This window comes from Homo sapiens, chromosome 1 (assembly GCF_000001405.40).
Source record: "Homo sapiens chromosome 1, GRCh38.p14 Primary Assembly".
NCBI classification, from domain to species: domain Eukaryota; kingdom Metazoa; phylum Chordata; class Mammalia; order Primates; family Hominidae; genus Homo; species Homo sapiens.
This window is the reverse complement of record NC_000001.11, coordinates 160,309,211-160,325,165: the sequence shown is the minus strand read 5'-3', so window position 1 is coordinate 160,325,165 and position 15,955 is coordinate 160,309,211. Positions and strand designations below refer to the sequence as shown.

Sequence of the window (15,955 nt, the reverse complement as noted above, 5' to 3'; positions counted from 1 at the left end):
GAAAGAAACTAGTTTTTGTTCTAAAAAATTATCTAATCTTCATAGCTACCCACTGAAGTAGATATTATTATCCCTATTTAGCAGACAAAAAAAAAAAAGAGATTTAGAGAAATTAAGTGGTCTACCAAAATCTACATATATCTAGTAAATAAATGTAAGAAATAAGATTTGAATTTCGATCTGACTCCAAAACCCAGGTGCTTTTCGCTGCATCATGATACATCTCAATAATACTGCTAATTCAAAACTGCCTTATCCAGGATTCTGTCACAATATACCATATAACTGTATAAATAGGGTATACAGTATCTTAAAATCAGCAGTTCTTAAACTTTTTGGTCTGAAGATCTCTTTATACTCTTAAAATTTATTGAGGACCCCAAAGAGTTTTTGTTTATGTGGGTTATATCTGTCAATTTTTTACCACATTTTAGATTAAAACAACTTTTAAAAACATGAAATATATCAGCACACATTCTATTAGCTGTCAGAGCGATGATATCACATATCATGTGCTGGGAAACTCTATTGTATACTTACGAAAGAATAAGAATGAAGAAGATAAATAGGCTGGGTGCAGTGGGTCACACCTGTAATCTCAGCACTTTGGGAGACCGAGGCCAGAGGATTACTTGAGGCCAGGAGTTTGAAACCAGCCTAGGCAACATAGCAAGACCTTGTCTCTACCAAAAAAAAAAAAAAAAAAAATTAGCTGGGCGTGGTGGTGCTCACTTGTAGTCCTTTGGGAGGCCGAGGTAGGAGAATCACTTGATCCTGGAAGTTTGAGACTTCAGGGAGCAATTAATATGATTGCACCACTACACTCCAGCCTGGATGACACAGCAAGACCTCATCTTAAAAAAAAAAAAAAAAAAAAAAAGAATGAAGAAGACAAAGTCTTAGTAATATTATGAAAATAGTTTTTACCTTGCAAACTTCTTAAAATAATCTTGGAGCTCCTTCAAGACCAGACTGAGATTTCTGCATTAAGTTATAAAAGTTTTCGGGCGGGCGCAGTGGCTCACGCCTGTAATCCCAGCACTGTGGGAGGCCGAGGCAAGTGAATCATGAGGCCGGGAGTTCAAGACCAGCCTGGCCAAGATGGTGAAACCCCATCTCTACTAAAAATACAAAAAAATTAGCCGGGTATGGTGGTGGGTGCCTGTAATCCCAGCTACTTGGGAGGCTGAGGCAGAGAATTACTTGAACCCGGGAGGCAGAGGTTGCAGTGAGCTGAGATCGTGCCACTGCACTCCAGCCTGGGTGACAGAGCGAGACTCCGTCTAAAAACAATAAAAAATAAAAAATAAAATTTGTCTGGAGATATTAATAATTATTTGTAGAAATAAGATAAAAATAGGCAAGTAAAAAACAAAGCAGAATATCCTAAATGCAAATGAGGCTGAGTTTAGGGGTTAGAAATATGTATTTGGAAATTCACATGAGAATTTGGGGTAATATTGGAGGACAGACATGGTAATTCTGATGCTCAAAATTTTAGAGCAGCGTAGTCTCTTGAATCTGTTCACATGAAGAATAAATCAGAGACATTTTTTACAACGAGTAGCTTGATTCATTGGTTTGCTTTGAGTAATGACTATAAAGATGTTTTAGAAGAACCACTCTTTTCTACAGGGTCACGATCGTGGAGTAAACTGGGCTGCCTTCCACCCCACTATGCCCCTTATTGTATCTGGGGCAGATGATCGTCAAGTGAAGATCTGGCGCATGAATGGTGAGTGAACCGGTTACATTATCGCCATATCTAAGAAACTGCCAGCCAGCAAGGTAAAGTAGCCAGGTCTTCTGGACTCTGACCTATTTTTCTACCTTAGGTGATTAATTAATGCTAATCCCAGGAGCATAGAAATTATTTTACAAATAAAATATATCATCTTTACAATTTTTATGTGTACAGTTAAGTGGTAATAAATATATTTATATTCTGTTTTCCTCCATTTCCTCCTTCACCCTCCTTCCCATTCTACTCTCGATCTTAATAATATCCACTTTTTAGCTTCCACATGTGAGTGAGAACATGCCATATTTGTCTCTTTGTTCTTCCCTTAACATAATGGCCTCCAGTTCCATCCATTTTGCTGCAAATAACAGGATTTCATTCTTTTTTATAGCTGAATAATATTCCATTGTGTGTGTGTGTGTGTGTGTGTGTGTGCACGTGCGCGTATGTAATTTTCTTTATTCATCCCTTGATGAGCACTTAAGTTGATTCCGTATTTTGGCTATTGTAAATAGTGCTGCAATAAACAAACATGGGGATGCAGATACCGCTTTGATATATTTATTTCCTTTATTTGGATATATAGCCAGTAGTGGAATTGCTGGATAATATGTTAGTTCTATTTTTAGTTTTTTGAGGAACCTCCATACTATTCTCCATTGTGACTATACTAATTTACATTCCCACCAACAGTGCAGGAGGGTTCCCCTTTCTCCATACCCTTGCCAGCATCTGTTATTGCCTGTCTTTTTGATACAAGCCATTTTACCTGTGGTGAAATGATATCTCATTGTGGATTTGATTCGCATGTCTTTTTTTCTATATATATGTATATATATTTCAGCCTCTGTGTTAAGGACACATTGATTTGCATTTCTCTGATAATTATTGATGAGCATTTTGCCCAGACAATGTCCTGGGACATTTCCCCAATGTTTTCTTCTAGTAGTTTCATAGTTTCTGGTCTTAGATTTAAGTCTTTAATCCTTTTTTGATTTGATTTTTGTGTGTGGTGAGAGATAGGAGTTTCATTCTTCTGCATATAGTTACCCAGTTTTCCCAACACTTTATTGTATGTTCTTGGCACCTTTGTTAAACATGAGTTAGCTATAGATTTGTGGATTTATATCTGGGTCCTCTGTTCTGTTCCATTGGTTTATGTGTCTGTTTCTGTGCCAGTACCACAGTGTTTTGGTTACTCTAGCTTTGTAGCAAATTTTGAAGTCAGGTAGTGTGATGCCTCCATCTTTGTTCTTTTTGCTCAGAATTGCTTTGGCTATTTGGGGTCTTTTGTGCTGCCATATAAATTTTAGGATTTTTTTTCTGTTTCTGTGAAGAATGTCTTTGATATTTTGATGGGGAATACAATAAATCTGTAAATTACTTTAGGTAGTAATTTACCCTATCATTTTTACAATATTCTTTCAACCCACAAGCATGGACTATCTTTCCATTTTTGGGGGTCCTCTTCAACTTTTTTCATCAGAGTTTTATAGTTTTCCTTGTATGGCCCTTTCACTTCTTTGGTTAGAGTGATTCCTGGGCATTTTATATTTTTTGTAGTTACTATAAATGGGATTTCTTGATTTTTTTTCAGATTATTCACTATTGGCATATATAAATGCTACTGATATTTTGAGACAGGATCTCGCTCTATTGCCCAGGCTGGAGTACAGTGGCTCGATCTTGGCTTACTGAAACCTCCCCCTCCCAGGTTCAAGTGATTCTCATACTTCAGCGTCTCGAGTAGCTGGGACTACAGGTGCACACCACCACACCTGGCTAATTTTTGTACTTTTTTTAGAGACGAGGTTTCACCATGTTGGCCAAGCTGGTCTCGAACTCTTGACCTCAAGTGATCTGCCCACCTTGGCCTCCCAAAGTGCTGGGTTTATAGGCATGAGCCACTGCACCTGGTCATGCTACTGATTTTTGTATGTTGATTTTGTATCCCGCAGCTGGACTGAATTTATCATTTTGGTTGAGTCTTAGGTTTTTCTAAGTATATGATAATGTCATCTGTGAACAAGGGTAATTTTTCCAATTTGTTTGTCCTTTATTTGTTTCTCATACCTACTTGACCTGGCCAGGACTTCTAGTGTTTTGTCGAATAAAAGTGGTAAAAGTGGGCATCCTTGCCTTCTGGTCCGTAGAGAAAAGGCCTTCAATTTTTTCCCATTAAGTGTAATATTAGTTGTAAGTTTATCATATATGGCCTTTATTGTTTTGAGGTATGCTCTTTCTCTACCCATGTTGATAATAACTTTTGTTATAAAGGGATGTTGAATTTTATCCAATGTTTTTTCAGCATCTGCTTAACTATCATATGGTTTTTATTTTTGATTTTGTTAATGTGATATATCATGTTTATTGATGTATATTGAACCATTCTTGCATCCCTGAAATGAATCCCACTTGATCTTAGTAAATGATCTTATCAGTATACTATTGAATTTGGTTTGCTAATATTTTGTTGAGGATTTTTGCATCTATGTTCATCAGTGATATCGGCCTGTAGTTTTCTCTTTTTGTGGTGTCCTTGCCTGGTTTTGTTATCAGAGTAATGCTGGCCTCATAGAATGAGTTTGAAAATATTCCCTCCTCTTCCTTTTTTTTTTTTTTTTTTTTTTTTAAGAGTTTGAATAGGATTGGCATTAATTCTTTAAATGTTTGGTAGAATTCAGCAGTAAAGCAGTCAGGTCCTGGGCTTTTCTTTGATGGGAGAATTTTTATTAAGGCTTTGATCTAGGCACTGGTTTTTAGAAGTTTTTCTATTTTATCGTGGTTCAATCTTTTTTTTTTTTTTTTTTTTTTTTGAGTTGGAGTCTCGCTGTGTTGCCTAGGCTGGAGTGCAGCAGGGCAATCTTAGCTCACTGCAGCCTCCACCTCCTGGGTTCAAACAATTCTCCTGCCTCAGCCTCCCAAGTAGCTGGGACTACAGGCTGTGCCACCATACCCAGCTAATTTTTATGTTTTTAGTAGAGACAGGGTTTTGCCATGTTGTCCAGGCTGGTCTTGAACTCCTGACCTCAAGTGATCCACCTGTCTCCACCTCCCAAAGTGCTGGGATTACAGACGTGGGCCACCATCCCTGGCCTCGTGGTTCAATCTTTGTAGGTTGTATGTGTCTAGGAATATATCCATTTCTTGTAAGTTTTCTAGTATGTTGGCATGTCATTCTCGTAATAGTTTCTAATGATTCTTTGTATTTCTGAGGTCTCAGTTGTTATGTTTCCTTTCTCATTTCTGATTTTATTTATTTGGATCTTCTCTCCTTTTTCCTTAGTTGGTCTAGCTAACAGTTTGTTGATACTATCTTTTCAAAAAGCAAGTGTTTCGTTTCATTGATAGTCTGTATTTTTTTTAGTCTCAATTTTATTTCTGCTCTGATCTTTATTGTTTGTTTTCTTCTACTAATTTAGGGTTTGGCTTGTTTTTTATTATCTAGGTCCTTGAGGTGTATCATTAGATTGTTCATTTGGAGTCTTTCCTTTTTTTTTTTTTTTTTTTGACATAGGTGTTTATGTTATAAACTTCATTCTTAGTACTGCTTTTGTCATATCCCATAAATTTTGTTACATTGTATTGCCATTTTCATTCGTTTCAAGCAATTTTTAAATTTCCTTCTTAATTTCTTCATTGATCCATTAGTCTTTCAGGAACATGTTGTTTAACTTACATGTGTTTGTATTTTCTGAGGTTCCTCTTGTTATTGATTTCTAGTTCTATTGTGTTCAGAAAAGATACTTAATATAATTTCTATTTTTTACAATTTTTTCAAGCTTGTTTTGTGGCCTAAAGTATAGTTTATTCTGGAGAGTGTTCCATGTGCTGATGAAAAGAATATTCTGTAGCCGTTGGGTGAAATGTTCTGTAAATTGCAGTTAGGCCTATTAGATCTAGTATGTAGTTTAACTCCACTGTTTCTTTGTTGATTTACTGTATGGATGATCTGTCTGTTTTTGAGAGTGGGGTATTAGCTCTCCTACTATTATCATATTGTAGTCTACCTCTCCTTTTGGATCTATTAGTGTTTGCTTTATATACTTGGGAGCTTTGGTGTTGGGTGCACAGATACTTATAATTGTTATTTCCTCTTGCTGAATTGACCCCTTTATCATTATATAGTGACCTTCTTTGTCTCTTTTTACAATCTTAGGTTTGGTAGTCTGTTTTATCTCATGTAAGTATAGCTACGCCTGCTCTTTTCTGGTTTCCAGTTTCATGGAATATCTCCCACTCCTTCGTTTTCAGTCTATGTGTGTCTGTATAGGTAAATGGGTTTCTTGAGGGCAGCATATAGTTAGGTCTTCTCTCTTTATCCGTTTAGCCACTCTATGCCTTTTAATTGAAGAATTGAGAGCATTTACATTCAGTGATATTATTGATAAGCAAGGACTTATTACTGCTGTTTTTTGCTTGTTTTCTGGTTTTGTTTTGTTTTTTTTTGAGGCTTCTCTCTTCCTTTTCTTACTGTCTTCTTTTGTGGTTAAGTGATTTTCTTTGGTAATATGTCTTAATTTGATGCTTTTTATTTTTAGTGAGTATATATTAATAGTTTTTGTGCTGTAATTACCATGAGATTCACAAAAAAAAATCTTATAGATAGAATAAGGTATTTTAAAGAGATGACAGCTTATTTTATATCACAAACACAAGAACAAAAACAAAGGCTAAAACACACTCAGAAATTATACATTTAACTCCATTTCTGTTCCTGCCTTTTTGACTATCTCTTTAACATGTTGCTATAGCTATTATTGCTTTTGATATATTTGTCTTTTGGGCTTCATAGTAAAGTTATAAGTGGATTGTGTACCACCATTATAGTAATATAGTCTTCTGGGTTTGTCTATGAACTTAATTTTACATCTTGGGTTTTATATCTTGAAAAGTTTTCTTTTTGCACATTAGTGTTTTTTTTTTTTTTTTGTTTTTTTTTTTTTTTTTTTTTTTACAAATATTGTTTATTTTAATGAAGCTGGTACAGACAATGTCCATTTAAAACCCATATCCCAGGCCAAAAAGTACAAATAAAATCAAAAAGAGCAGTGTTCTGTTGTATTCATTTCTGCATGTATAGCTTTATTAATTGCTAATGAAAATTAGAACTTTTCTGGGATCTTCTGACAAGATTTTTAAAAAATCTTAAAATGCCTTTTCTTCAATGAAGCCATCTTTGGAGTTAGTCATTACTCTCTCCTTATCAGTTATCTTGACTTCAACCCGATATTCCTCTTCTTTTGGTCCAGACCCTCAAATTTAAGAGTAGCTTGAAGTTAAGGAAAGGTCATTTTTCCACAGTTTCAGTTCTCTGAAACACTTCCATCTCCCACTGAAAGTCACAGTCCAGGAGTGAAGTAATCACATGCTAGAACATCAGGGCCAATTCGCAAGTTATTATGAACGCTTGCATTGGTCAATCTTATTTATCACCACAAGCCTGAAAATGCAATGTCCTGAAAAAGGTGGGCTCTCTGTGCACACGTAATTTTTAAAAAGGAGAGGGTAATATGAAGGGGACTGAGGCTTGATCACCAAAAATCAGCACAATGAAAATAAACAATAATGAATAATGAGCACTAGAATTCAGATTACCAGATGTTTCAAAGAGATGGGGTGCCAGTTTTCAATTCCGTTTTTAACACCACATTACAAAAGAACTATTTTTAAAAATGAGAAAGGATTGAGGGAAAAGAAAAAAAATAAAAAGAATATCTAAACTGTTGAATGACCCCCCATTTGTTCCTGATAAACTTCAATCACATCTTCTTCCTCCATTCCCAGTTCTTTTGGAGTATGATTATCAGCAATTCTCTGACCCTCAAAGAGAAACCTGAATGAATTCATTGGAACGCCCTGTCTTTGACAGTATGATTCTTTGAGTTTCTTGAGATGTGTTGTCATTTTCACTTTGAAGTGAATCTCACTGCTATCCTGTCCAATGACTTTGAGTTTAATATATTCACCTTCCTTCTTATCCCCCAAGTCCTCAGTTGAAGGTTTTGCCTCCTGGTCAGACATGATGACAGTGGCTTCACCCGGGGGTCTCCGCACAGCAGCGGCCTCGGGTAAGCAGAACCTCACTCCGGGGTTTACAAATCCTTCTCCCTTCCCCACAGCACAACACCGCAGCTGCAGTAACTTCCGCTACCACATTAGTGTTTTTTTCTTTCAGATCGAAGAACTACTTTTAACACTTACTGTAAGATGGATCTGGTGGTGGTAAATTCTCACCTTTTGTTTGTATGGGAAATACTATCCTTCATATTTGGAAAATAAAATAATCTTGCTGGGTACAGTATTCTTAGATGTCAGGTTTTTTCTTTGAGCACTTGGAAAATGTCATTCCTCTCTCTCTTGGCCTGTATGGTTTGCATTGAAACATCTATTGCCAGACAAATTGGAGCTCCTTTGTGTGTTCTTTGCTTCTTTTCTGTTGTGTATTTTAGGATCCTTTCTTTGTCCTTGACTTTTGAGAGTTTGACTTTTATATGCCTTAGGGTAGTCTTACTTGGGTTGGACCTGTTTGGTGTTCTCAGGCCTTCCTGTACCTGGATATTTCTTCCTCAAGTTTTGGAAAATTTTCTGTAATTATTTCTTTGAATAAGCTTTCTACGCTTGCTCTTGCTTAGCTCCCTCTTGAAAACCAATCATTCTTTTTTTTTTTTTTTGAGACAGAATTTTGCTCTTGTTGGCCAGGCTGGAGTGCAATGGTGCGATCTCAGCTCACCATGACCTCCGCCTCCCGAGTTCAAGTGATTCTCCTCCCTCAGCCTCCCGAGTAGCTGGGATTATAGGCATGCACCACCACACCCGGCTAATTTTGTATTTTTAGTAGAGACAGGGTTTCTCCATGTTGGTTAGGGTGGTTGCAAACTCCTGACCTTAGATGATCCGCCCACCTCAGCCTCCCAAAGTGCTATGATTACAGGCATGAGCCACCACGCCAGCCAATTGTTCTTAAATTTGGTCTTTTGAGGCAATTTTCTGTATCTTGTAGTCTTGTAGGTAGTCTTTGTTCCTTTTCATTCTTTTTATTTTTTCCTCTGACTTCTTTTTTTTTCAAGACAGGGTCTTGCTCTGTCACCCAGGCTGGAGTGCAATGGTACAATCTCAGCTCACTGCAACCTCCACCTCCCGGGTTCAAGTGATTCTCCTGCCTCAGCCTCCCAAGTAGCTGGTATTACAGGCATCCACCACCAGGTCTGGCTAATTTTGGTATTTTTAGTAGAAACAGGGTTTCACTATGTCGGCCAGGCTGGTCTCGAACTCCTGACCTTGTGATCCACCCACCTCGGCCTCCCAAAGTGCTGGGATTATAGGTGTGAGCCACCATGCCCAGCCTGACTGTGTATTTTTCAAACAGCCAGTCTTCGAGCTCACTGATTTTTTTCCTCCACTTGGTCCAGTCTGCTATTCAGAGTCTCTAATGAGCTCTTCATTTCAGCAAATGTGTTTCTGTTTCAAGATTTCTGTTTGATTTGTTTTCATTGTTTCAATCTCTTTGTTAAACTTCTCTGGTAAATTTCTTAATTGTTTTTCAGCCATCTCTTGGCGATAACAGGGTTTCCTTTAAACTACCAGTTTTAATTCTTGGTCAGAGATCACAAATTGCTGTCATTTTAGGGTCAGTCATTGTATTTTTGCTTTGTCCTTGTGGGGAGGTTATGGTTCCCTGTTTGCTATTGTTTATTTTGGGTATACACCTATGTCTTTGTATTGAAAGATTAGTTACTTATTCCAGTTTTCTCTGTTTGGCTTGCTTTGGTTTTTATTGGATATATTTGCTTAGCAAATCTGTACTGCTAGGTCACTTCCTCCTCTTTGGCTTTAGGTGACACCTTAAGTCCGGGTTCACCTTGGCTTTAGTAAATGACCAGAGCATTGTCTGTCCTGAATGGGGAGGTCCCAAAGGGATTATCCCAGCTGTGTGTCAAGGCTGGCTAGAGGTTCGTGTATGGGCAGACCTGTGGAATATACTTCCTGCAATGCAGTGCTGCTGAGCAGCCACTCTGATTTGGCATCTCCTTTGGCCAAGTAACAGAGCAGAGTTTCTGGGGCTGGGTGTGATAGTCTTGCCTCCCCGCTTTCTCTCTGCCTGTCCTCAGGGATATTTCCCCTTTCAGGCAGTCGTGATGCTTCCCATGGGTTAAGTCAAGGTTAGATCTCCTGCCAGGGCACCCAGGAAGATGGGGAAGGTAGTTGACCTCCTCAGTCTCACTTTTTCCAGTGTAGAAACCATGAGTTGGGGGAGGGCCATTGCAGATGTGGAAATCAGATGCTCTTACCATCTGCTCAGAGTTTTTTCATCTCTCTGTGGCCCCAGGAACTGTCTCATTGTCATATTTGAGTTCTGGGTTGTTGCTGATGAAAATCTCAGCACTGTATATTTGTTTTGGGTTTTCTGTGGAGGGGAGTGAAGCCAGCTTGCTTCTATACCACTGTTTTGAAACTGAAAGTATTCCTTCTTTCCCTTTTTTCCTGTGGTGGTACCCTTATTTTGAGGAGTATGAACATAGAATTCATCCATTCATTTGACAAATATTTATTGAGTACCTCCTTTGTACTAGACTTTGTTTAAGGCTCTGGAGATACAGCGGTGACTAAAACAGATAAGGCCCCTGTCTGAAGGAGCTCATATTTGTTCTAAAATGGCAACTCCTAAAGTGGCAGGTCCCTGAAAAAAAGAAAAAATAACAAAAATTGAAAGGCCAACTAGGACAGTTGTTATCAGGACAGATAAAACAGGATAAAGGGATGGAGAATGATGAAAAAGAGGTGTTTGTTTTTTTGAGACAGGGTCTTGCTCTGTTGCCCAGCCTGGAGTTTGGTGGTGCATTCACGGCTCACTGCCGTCTTGACCTTTTGGGCTTGGGCGATCCTCCCCCTCAGCCTCCTGAGTAGCTGGGACTACAAACGTGCGCCACAACACCCAGTTAATTTTTGTATTTTTTGTAGAGATGGGGTTTTTTACCATGTTGCCCAGGCTGATCTCGAACTCCTAGGCTCAAGTGATCCCCCTACCTTAGCCTCCCAAAGTTCTGGGATTACAGGTGTGAGCCACCATGTCTGGCCAAGAGAAGAGGTTTTATAATCAATAAGAGGGTCAGAATGAAAGAACCAAGACATGTAAAGATTAAGAGACTTAAATGAAGAAGATTGCCATATTAGAAAGAAGTTGGCAATTTAGCATTCTGTAATAGTACTTAGTTCTTGATGAAGAGGATGTCATATCTCCAAATCCTAAAGTTATAGTAGTAGGGAATTGTGATGACCTAATTCTTTTTGTCCTTCAGAATCAAAGGCATGGGAGGTTGATACCTGCCGGGGCCATTACAACAATGTATCTTGTGCCGTCTTCCACCCTCGCCAAGAGTTGATCCTCAGCAATTCTGAGGACAAGAGTATTCGAGTCTGGGATATGTCTAAGCGGTAAGGTAGTCCTCAGTGTTGTGTGAACTTTCTCTTACTCTCTCTTTTAAAATTAGATTGGAATACTTCTTTATGTCTCTCATCATCTTCAGCATGTAGACAAATCAAATCATATATTATGAAAATTTGAAGAGACCTAGAGATCAGTCAACATTTACAAATTTTCCATCAAATAGAAATCTCCATGTATATTATTTTTTGCCTCTAAATTTAAACATGTTTTCTTCTTCCCCCTTTCCCCAGTTCTGTAGCTAGAGAAGTAAGAAATGCGGAATGAGGCCGGGCGCGGTGGCTCATGCCTGTAATCCCAGCACTTGGGAGGCTGAGGCGGGTGGATCACGAGGTCAGGAGATTGAGACCATCCTGGCTAACACAATGAAACCCCGTCTCTACTAAAAATACAAAAAATTAGCCGGGCGTGGTGGCGGGCGCCTGTAGTCCCAGCTACTCAGGAGGCTGAGGCAGAAGAATGGCATGAACCTGGGAGGTGGAGCTTGCAGTGAGCCGAGATCGCGCCACTGCACTCCAGCCTGGGCAACAGAGCGAGACTCCGTCTCAAAAAAAAAAAAATGCAGAATGAAAGCCATAAAATTATGCTGAAAAGGGGAAATCTATATATCATAATAATATGGTCAGTTTTGAAGTCTCCTCTTTTTGTTCCTTGGTAGAATTTATCACGACTACTGTTACTTAGGATATGCAGTTTACTCTCCCTGATTTACATTTTAATCAGCTTGCTGGCTTACCATTTAATATTCTTGTGTAGGATGGGCTGAAGATTCCTAGGAAATTAATGTTTTTCTTTTTGTGTACCTTTTCTAGGACTGGGGTTCAGACTTTCCGCAGAGACCATGATCGTTTCTGGGTCCTAGCTGCTCACCCTAACCTTAACCTCTTTGCAGCAGGTAAGGGCCATTTTCTCTCTTTTTTCTTTGCTTAATTCAAAGTTTATAAGTCTTGAAAGTGATTATTAGCTTTGTCTCTAGTAAATGTATAGTAGGATGACAAGAAGAAGAAGGACTCTCAGAGCCACTTAGTTGAAGCTTTTCTCCTTTTTTTCTTCCACTTTATATGTACGTAAAATGATGTGTGGTGAAAAATGCTTTGAAGAAAAATTAAAGGTAAGGCAGATAGAGACAGATGAGTATGGGGACTGCTGCTTTATATTGGGTGGTTCAGAAAAGTGAAAGGGTATGAGGCAATGGGAACAGCAAATGCAGAGACTGTGTTGTGAGAGGTGCTTAGCATGTCACCATCACATGCTAAGGAACACCAAAGAGGCCAGTTGGAGCACAGTGAGTAAGGGACTGAGTAACAGGTGAGGTCTGGCCAGATCGTGTATTGCCTTCTATGCCATGGTTAGAACTTAAGATTTTATTCTGAATACATGGAAAGCCATTGGAAGGTTTTGGGCAGGAAAGTGACATGATCTGGTTTATATTTGGAGAGCAGACAGTAGGAGAACAAGAGTGGAAGGGTTTTCTAAGGGATGATGGTGCTAGTAGGGAAAGAGCAAAACATTTTAAAAAACAGAATCACAAAGGGTTTTTAACATCCATTTTTTCAGTAAATACTTCTTATACTCTTTTTATATGCTAGAGACTGGGGAAGGATGGAAATTATAATTTCTGCCTTCAGGGAATTCATGTTACAATGTGGGTGATAGACCTAAATGATTACAGTGCAGGATGATAAGTACTGTAATGGAGGTTTGTACAAAGCATTAGGGGAACACAGAAAAGGGCAGTGTGGATAGTGACACTAAGTGTGGCAGTGTGAATAGTATTAGGAAAGGATTCACAGAGAATTATTTAAATAAAGATTCCAAGAATTGTGAGAATTTAGGCAAATAAGGGATGCATTCAGGTGTCTTGTCTTACAGATATAATCTTCATCCTTACGTATCTCCAATTTCCAGGTTTTTTTCTTGCCTACAGCTTAATTTTTTCTCCTCCTCTCCCTGTCCCCCAGGCCATGATGGTGGTATGATTGTGTTTAAGCTGGAACGGGAACGGCCAGCCTATGCTGTTCATGGCAATATGCTACACTATGTCAAGGACCGATTCTTACGACAGCTGGATTTCAACAGCTCCAAAGATGTAGCTGTGATGCAGTTGCGGAGGTAAATCGGACTTGTTTCTTTCCTCCAAACCCTCTCATCTGTCACCCTGATACAACTCCCACAAACAAGACTCTTCTTTTCTTTCTTTCATTTATTTATTTTATTTATTTAATTTTTTTTTGAGACGGAGTCTCGCTTTGTCGCCCAGGCTGGAGTGCAGTGGCGCGATCTCGGCTCACTGCAAGCTCCGCCTCCCGGGTTCACACCATTCTCCTGCCTCAGCCTCCCAAGTACTGGGACTACAGGCGCCCGCCACCACGCCTGGCTAATTTTTTGTATTTTTTAGTAGAGACGGTTTCACCATGTTAGCCAGGATGGTCTCAATCTCCTGACCTCATGATCTGCCTGGCTTGGCCTCCCAAAGTGCTGGGATTACAGGCGTGAGCCACCGCGCCCAGCCTATTTATTTATTTTTAAATTTTTTTTTTTTGAGATGGAGTCTCACTCTGTCACCCAGGCTGGAGCGCAGTGATGCAACCTCAGCTCACTGCAACCTCCACCTCCTGGGTTCAAGCAATTCTCCTGCCTCAGTCTCCCAAGTAGCTGGGATTACAGGTGTGCACCACCACACCTGGCTAATTTTGTATTTTGAGTAGAGACGGGGTTTCGCTGTGTTGGTCAGGCTGGCCTCGAACTCCTGACCTTGTGATCCGCCCACCTCGGCCTCCCAAAGTTCTGGGATTGCAGGCGTGAGCCACCGCACCCAACCAAGACTCTTCTTTTAAATGACATTTTGGATCTCGTATTCTGTCACAGATGGAATCCCCATTAGATGAGCCCGCTCAGTTTAAACCCAATGAGTGAGGGAGGCAAGGAAGTGGTCATGAGTAGAATGATAGTTCCCTTCTTGAGAATGCTAGTGACCTTGTGGATGGAAAATCATTCTGCCACAATTTGCTGGGTCTCTTGCAAGCCAGAGGAAGTTTCTTGATAGAGAATGGCCCAAACTGGTAACAGAACTTTTCGCCTTTGTTTGGCATTTCTTTTCTTTAACTCTCCCTTGCCTTCCAGCAAAAAGTGCACAACTCTGAACCAGAATATATGTCCCTGGAAACTCTTAATTCTGAAGATACAATAACCTCTGGGATGCCTGGCAAAAGGACCTGTCCTTTTGAAAAGCCAGCTGCATCAGCATGCTGAAACATTCATGGTGGCAAAATTTGGAATGAGGTTTTGATAACCACCCTTTAGCATCATTACAATAAAAAAATGGGTTTATGTGAATACTCCAAGGGACAGGAGAAACCAGCCAGAGACAAATCACATTATGTTACTCTGTGGTGTCCACTGCAATTACGTGTAGGAATTTGTATCCAAGCAGAACCAGTCCCACTCACTACAGTGAGTGTTAACCCTACCTACCTTCTGTTGAATAATTTGACTTCTACTATGGCTTACTTTTTAAAACTGTTTGTTCAAAGCTGAGCTAGGGAAGTTGCCAAGCCTTAAAGGAAGAGAATACAATATTTATTCATTTTATTCCTGATTATAAAAGTGATGAGTATATAGTGTAAAGATTGGATAAGTAGGAGGTGTGGGGGTGATTCCTTTCTTCCTTCTATTCTTATGCCTCTTCCCTGTTTTCTCCTTTTTCTATATATATCTCTAGTGGTTCCAAGTTTCCAGTATTCAATATGTCATACAATCCAGCAGAAAATGCAGTCCTGCTTTGTACAGTAAGTAACCTGTGGAGCCCTCCTAGGTTCTCCTCATTTTCCATAGGTCTCTTTCTTATGCCCTTAGGGAATCTTTAATGGCTTCTTAGAAACTATTTAATGGTCATTTTGTGAGAGCTGACACAGTGATCACTCAGAGACTCAAATCAGGTAGGTTTCAGTTGTCGTAAACATATTGAGCATTTGTGAACTGCCTATCTTTCCTAAAGCTGAACTTAATGGAGCATCAGAATGAATGACCCAGATCACTAGAAATAATTTGAGAGAATGTTTAGACTATATATATATATTTCCTATGGAAAGAAAATGTTTACCTTGATCCCTTCCTTTGGGTGAAAATAGAAGAACTATTATTTTGAGAGGAAGTTCATATCAGTGGGGTTGGCTTCAGAGTCATCAATGACTCCTCTCTGTTTCTTGCAACAGAATTTGCAAAAAAAAAAAAAAAAGAAATGACATTCTAATTTTAGTGCCCTCGTGGCCAAGTTAAAAGGAATGAAGTTAAATGTCTTTCCTCATATAACTATATTGTCTAATCTGTTCTTCTTTAATATCTAGTAGTCCCATACTCTGAGTTTTCTTGAGTGTTTTTTCTTTTCTTCTTTTTCCAATAAACATTTGCATTCCTATAGTGTCTTTTCTTTGATGTCTTTTTTTTTTCCTTTCCAGAGGTTGAGTACTCAGTTGATGAGTCCTCAGGGTGGGGTACCAGAATATCAGGGTCCTAGTCTGTTAATTTGTGGAGTAGAGAGCATTTCTTACTTTCATTCAGATAATATCTGCATCTTTGGAGGATAAAGAAAATAAAGTGACATCAGTGCTGATGTGTTTGGCAAAGAGCCCTATAACTCATAGATGTAGAAACAGTCAAATGCCCTCTGGGTGAAGGGTAAGAAAAGTATGGTTTCAGATTGGTGTCTGTGCAATGGAACTGTTTTCTCTGTCAGAGTAAATTGGAAAACTGGTATCTTGGGTGCTTCT

General features: G+C 39.1%; 1 protein-coding gene and 1 pseudogene across 3 annotated transcripts in view; one reads left to right on the top strand and one right to left on the bottom strand.

Moving 5' to 3' along the window:
* The window catches only part of COPA (coat protein complex I subunit alpha), a 54,657-nt gene that overhangs the window by 18,085 nt on the left and 20,617 nt on the right, over nucleotides 1–15,955 (top strand). For both annotated transcript variants that reach the window (NM_004371.4, NM_001098398.2), the window contains exons 8-12: nucleotides 1,636–1,735; nucleotides 11,041–11,176; nucleotides 11,999–12,081; nucleotides 13,148–13,298; nucleotides 14,908–14,974. In NM_004371.4, coding sequence (NP_004362.2) covers nucleotides 1,636–1,735; nucleotides 11,041–11,176; nucleotides 11,999–12,081; nucleotides 13,148–13,298; nucleotides 14,908–14,974 — 537 coding nt within the window. The remainder of the gene's footprint in view (nucleotides 1–1,635; nucleotides 1,736–11,040; nucleotides 11,177–11,998; nucleotides 12,082–13,147; nucleotides 13,299–14,907; nucleotides 14,975–15,955) is intronic.
* On the bottom strand, nucleotides 6,692–7,901 carry SUMO1P3 (SUMO1 pseudogene 3; annotated as a pseudogene). The gene has a single exon (NR_002190.1). The product of NR_002190.1 is annotated as an SUMO1 pseudogene 3 (transcript).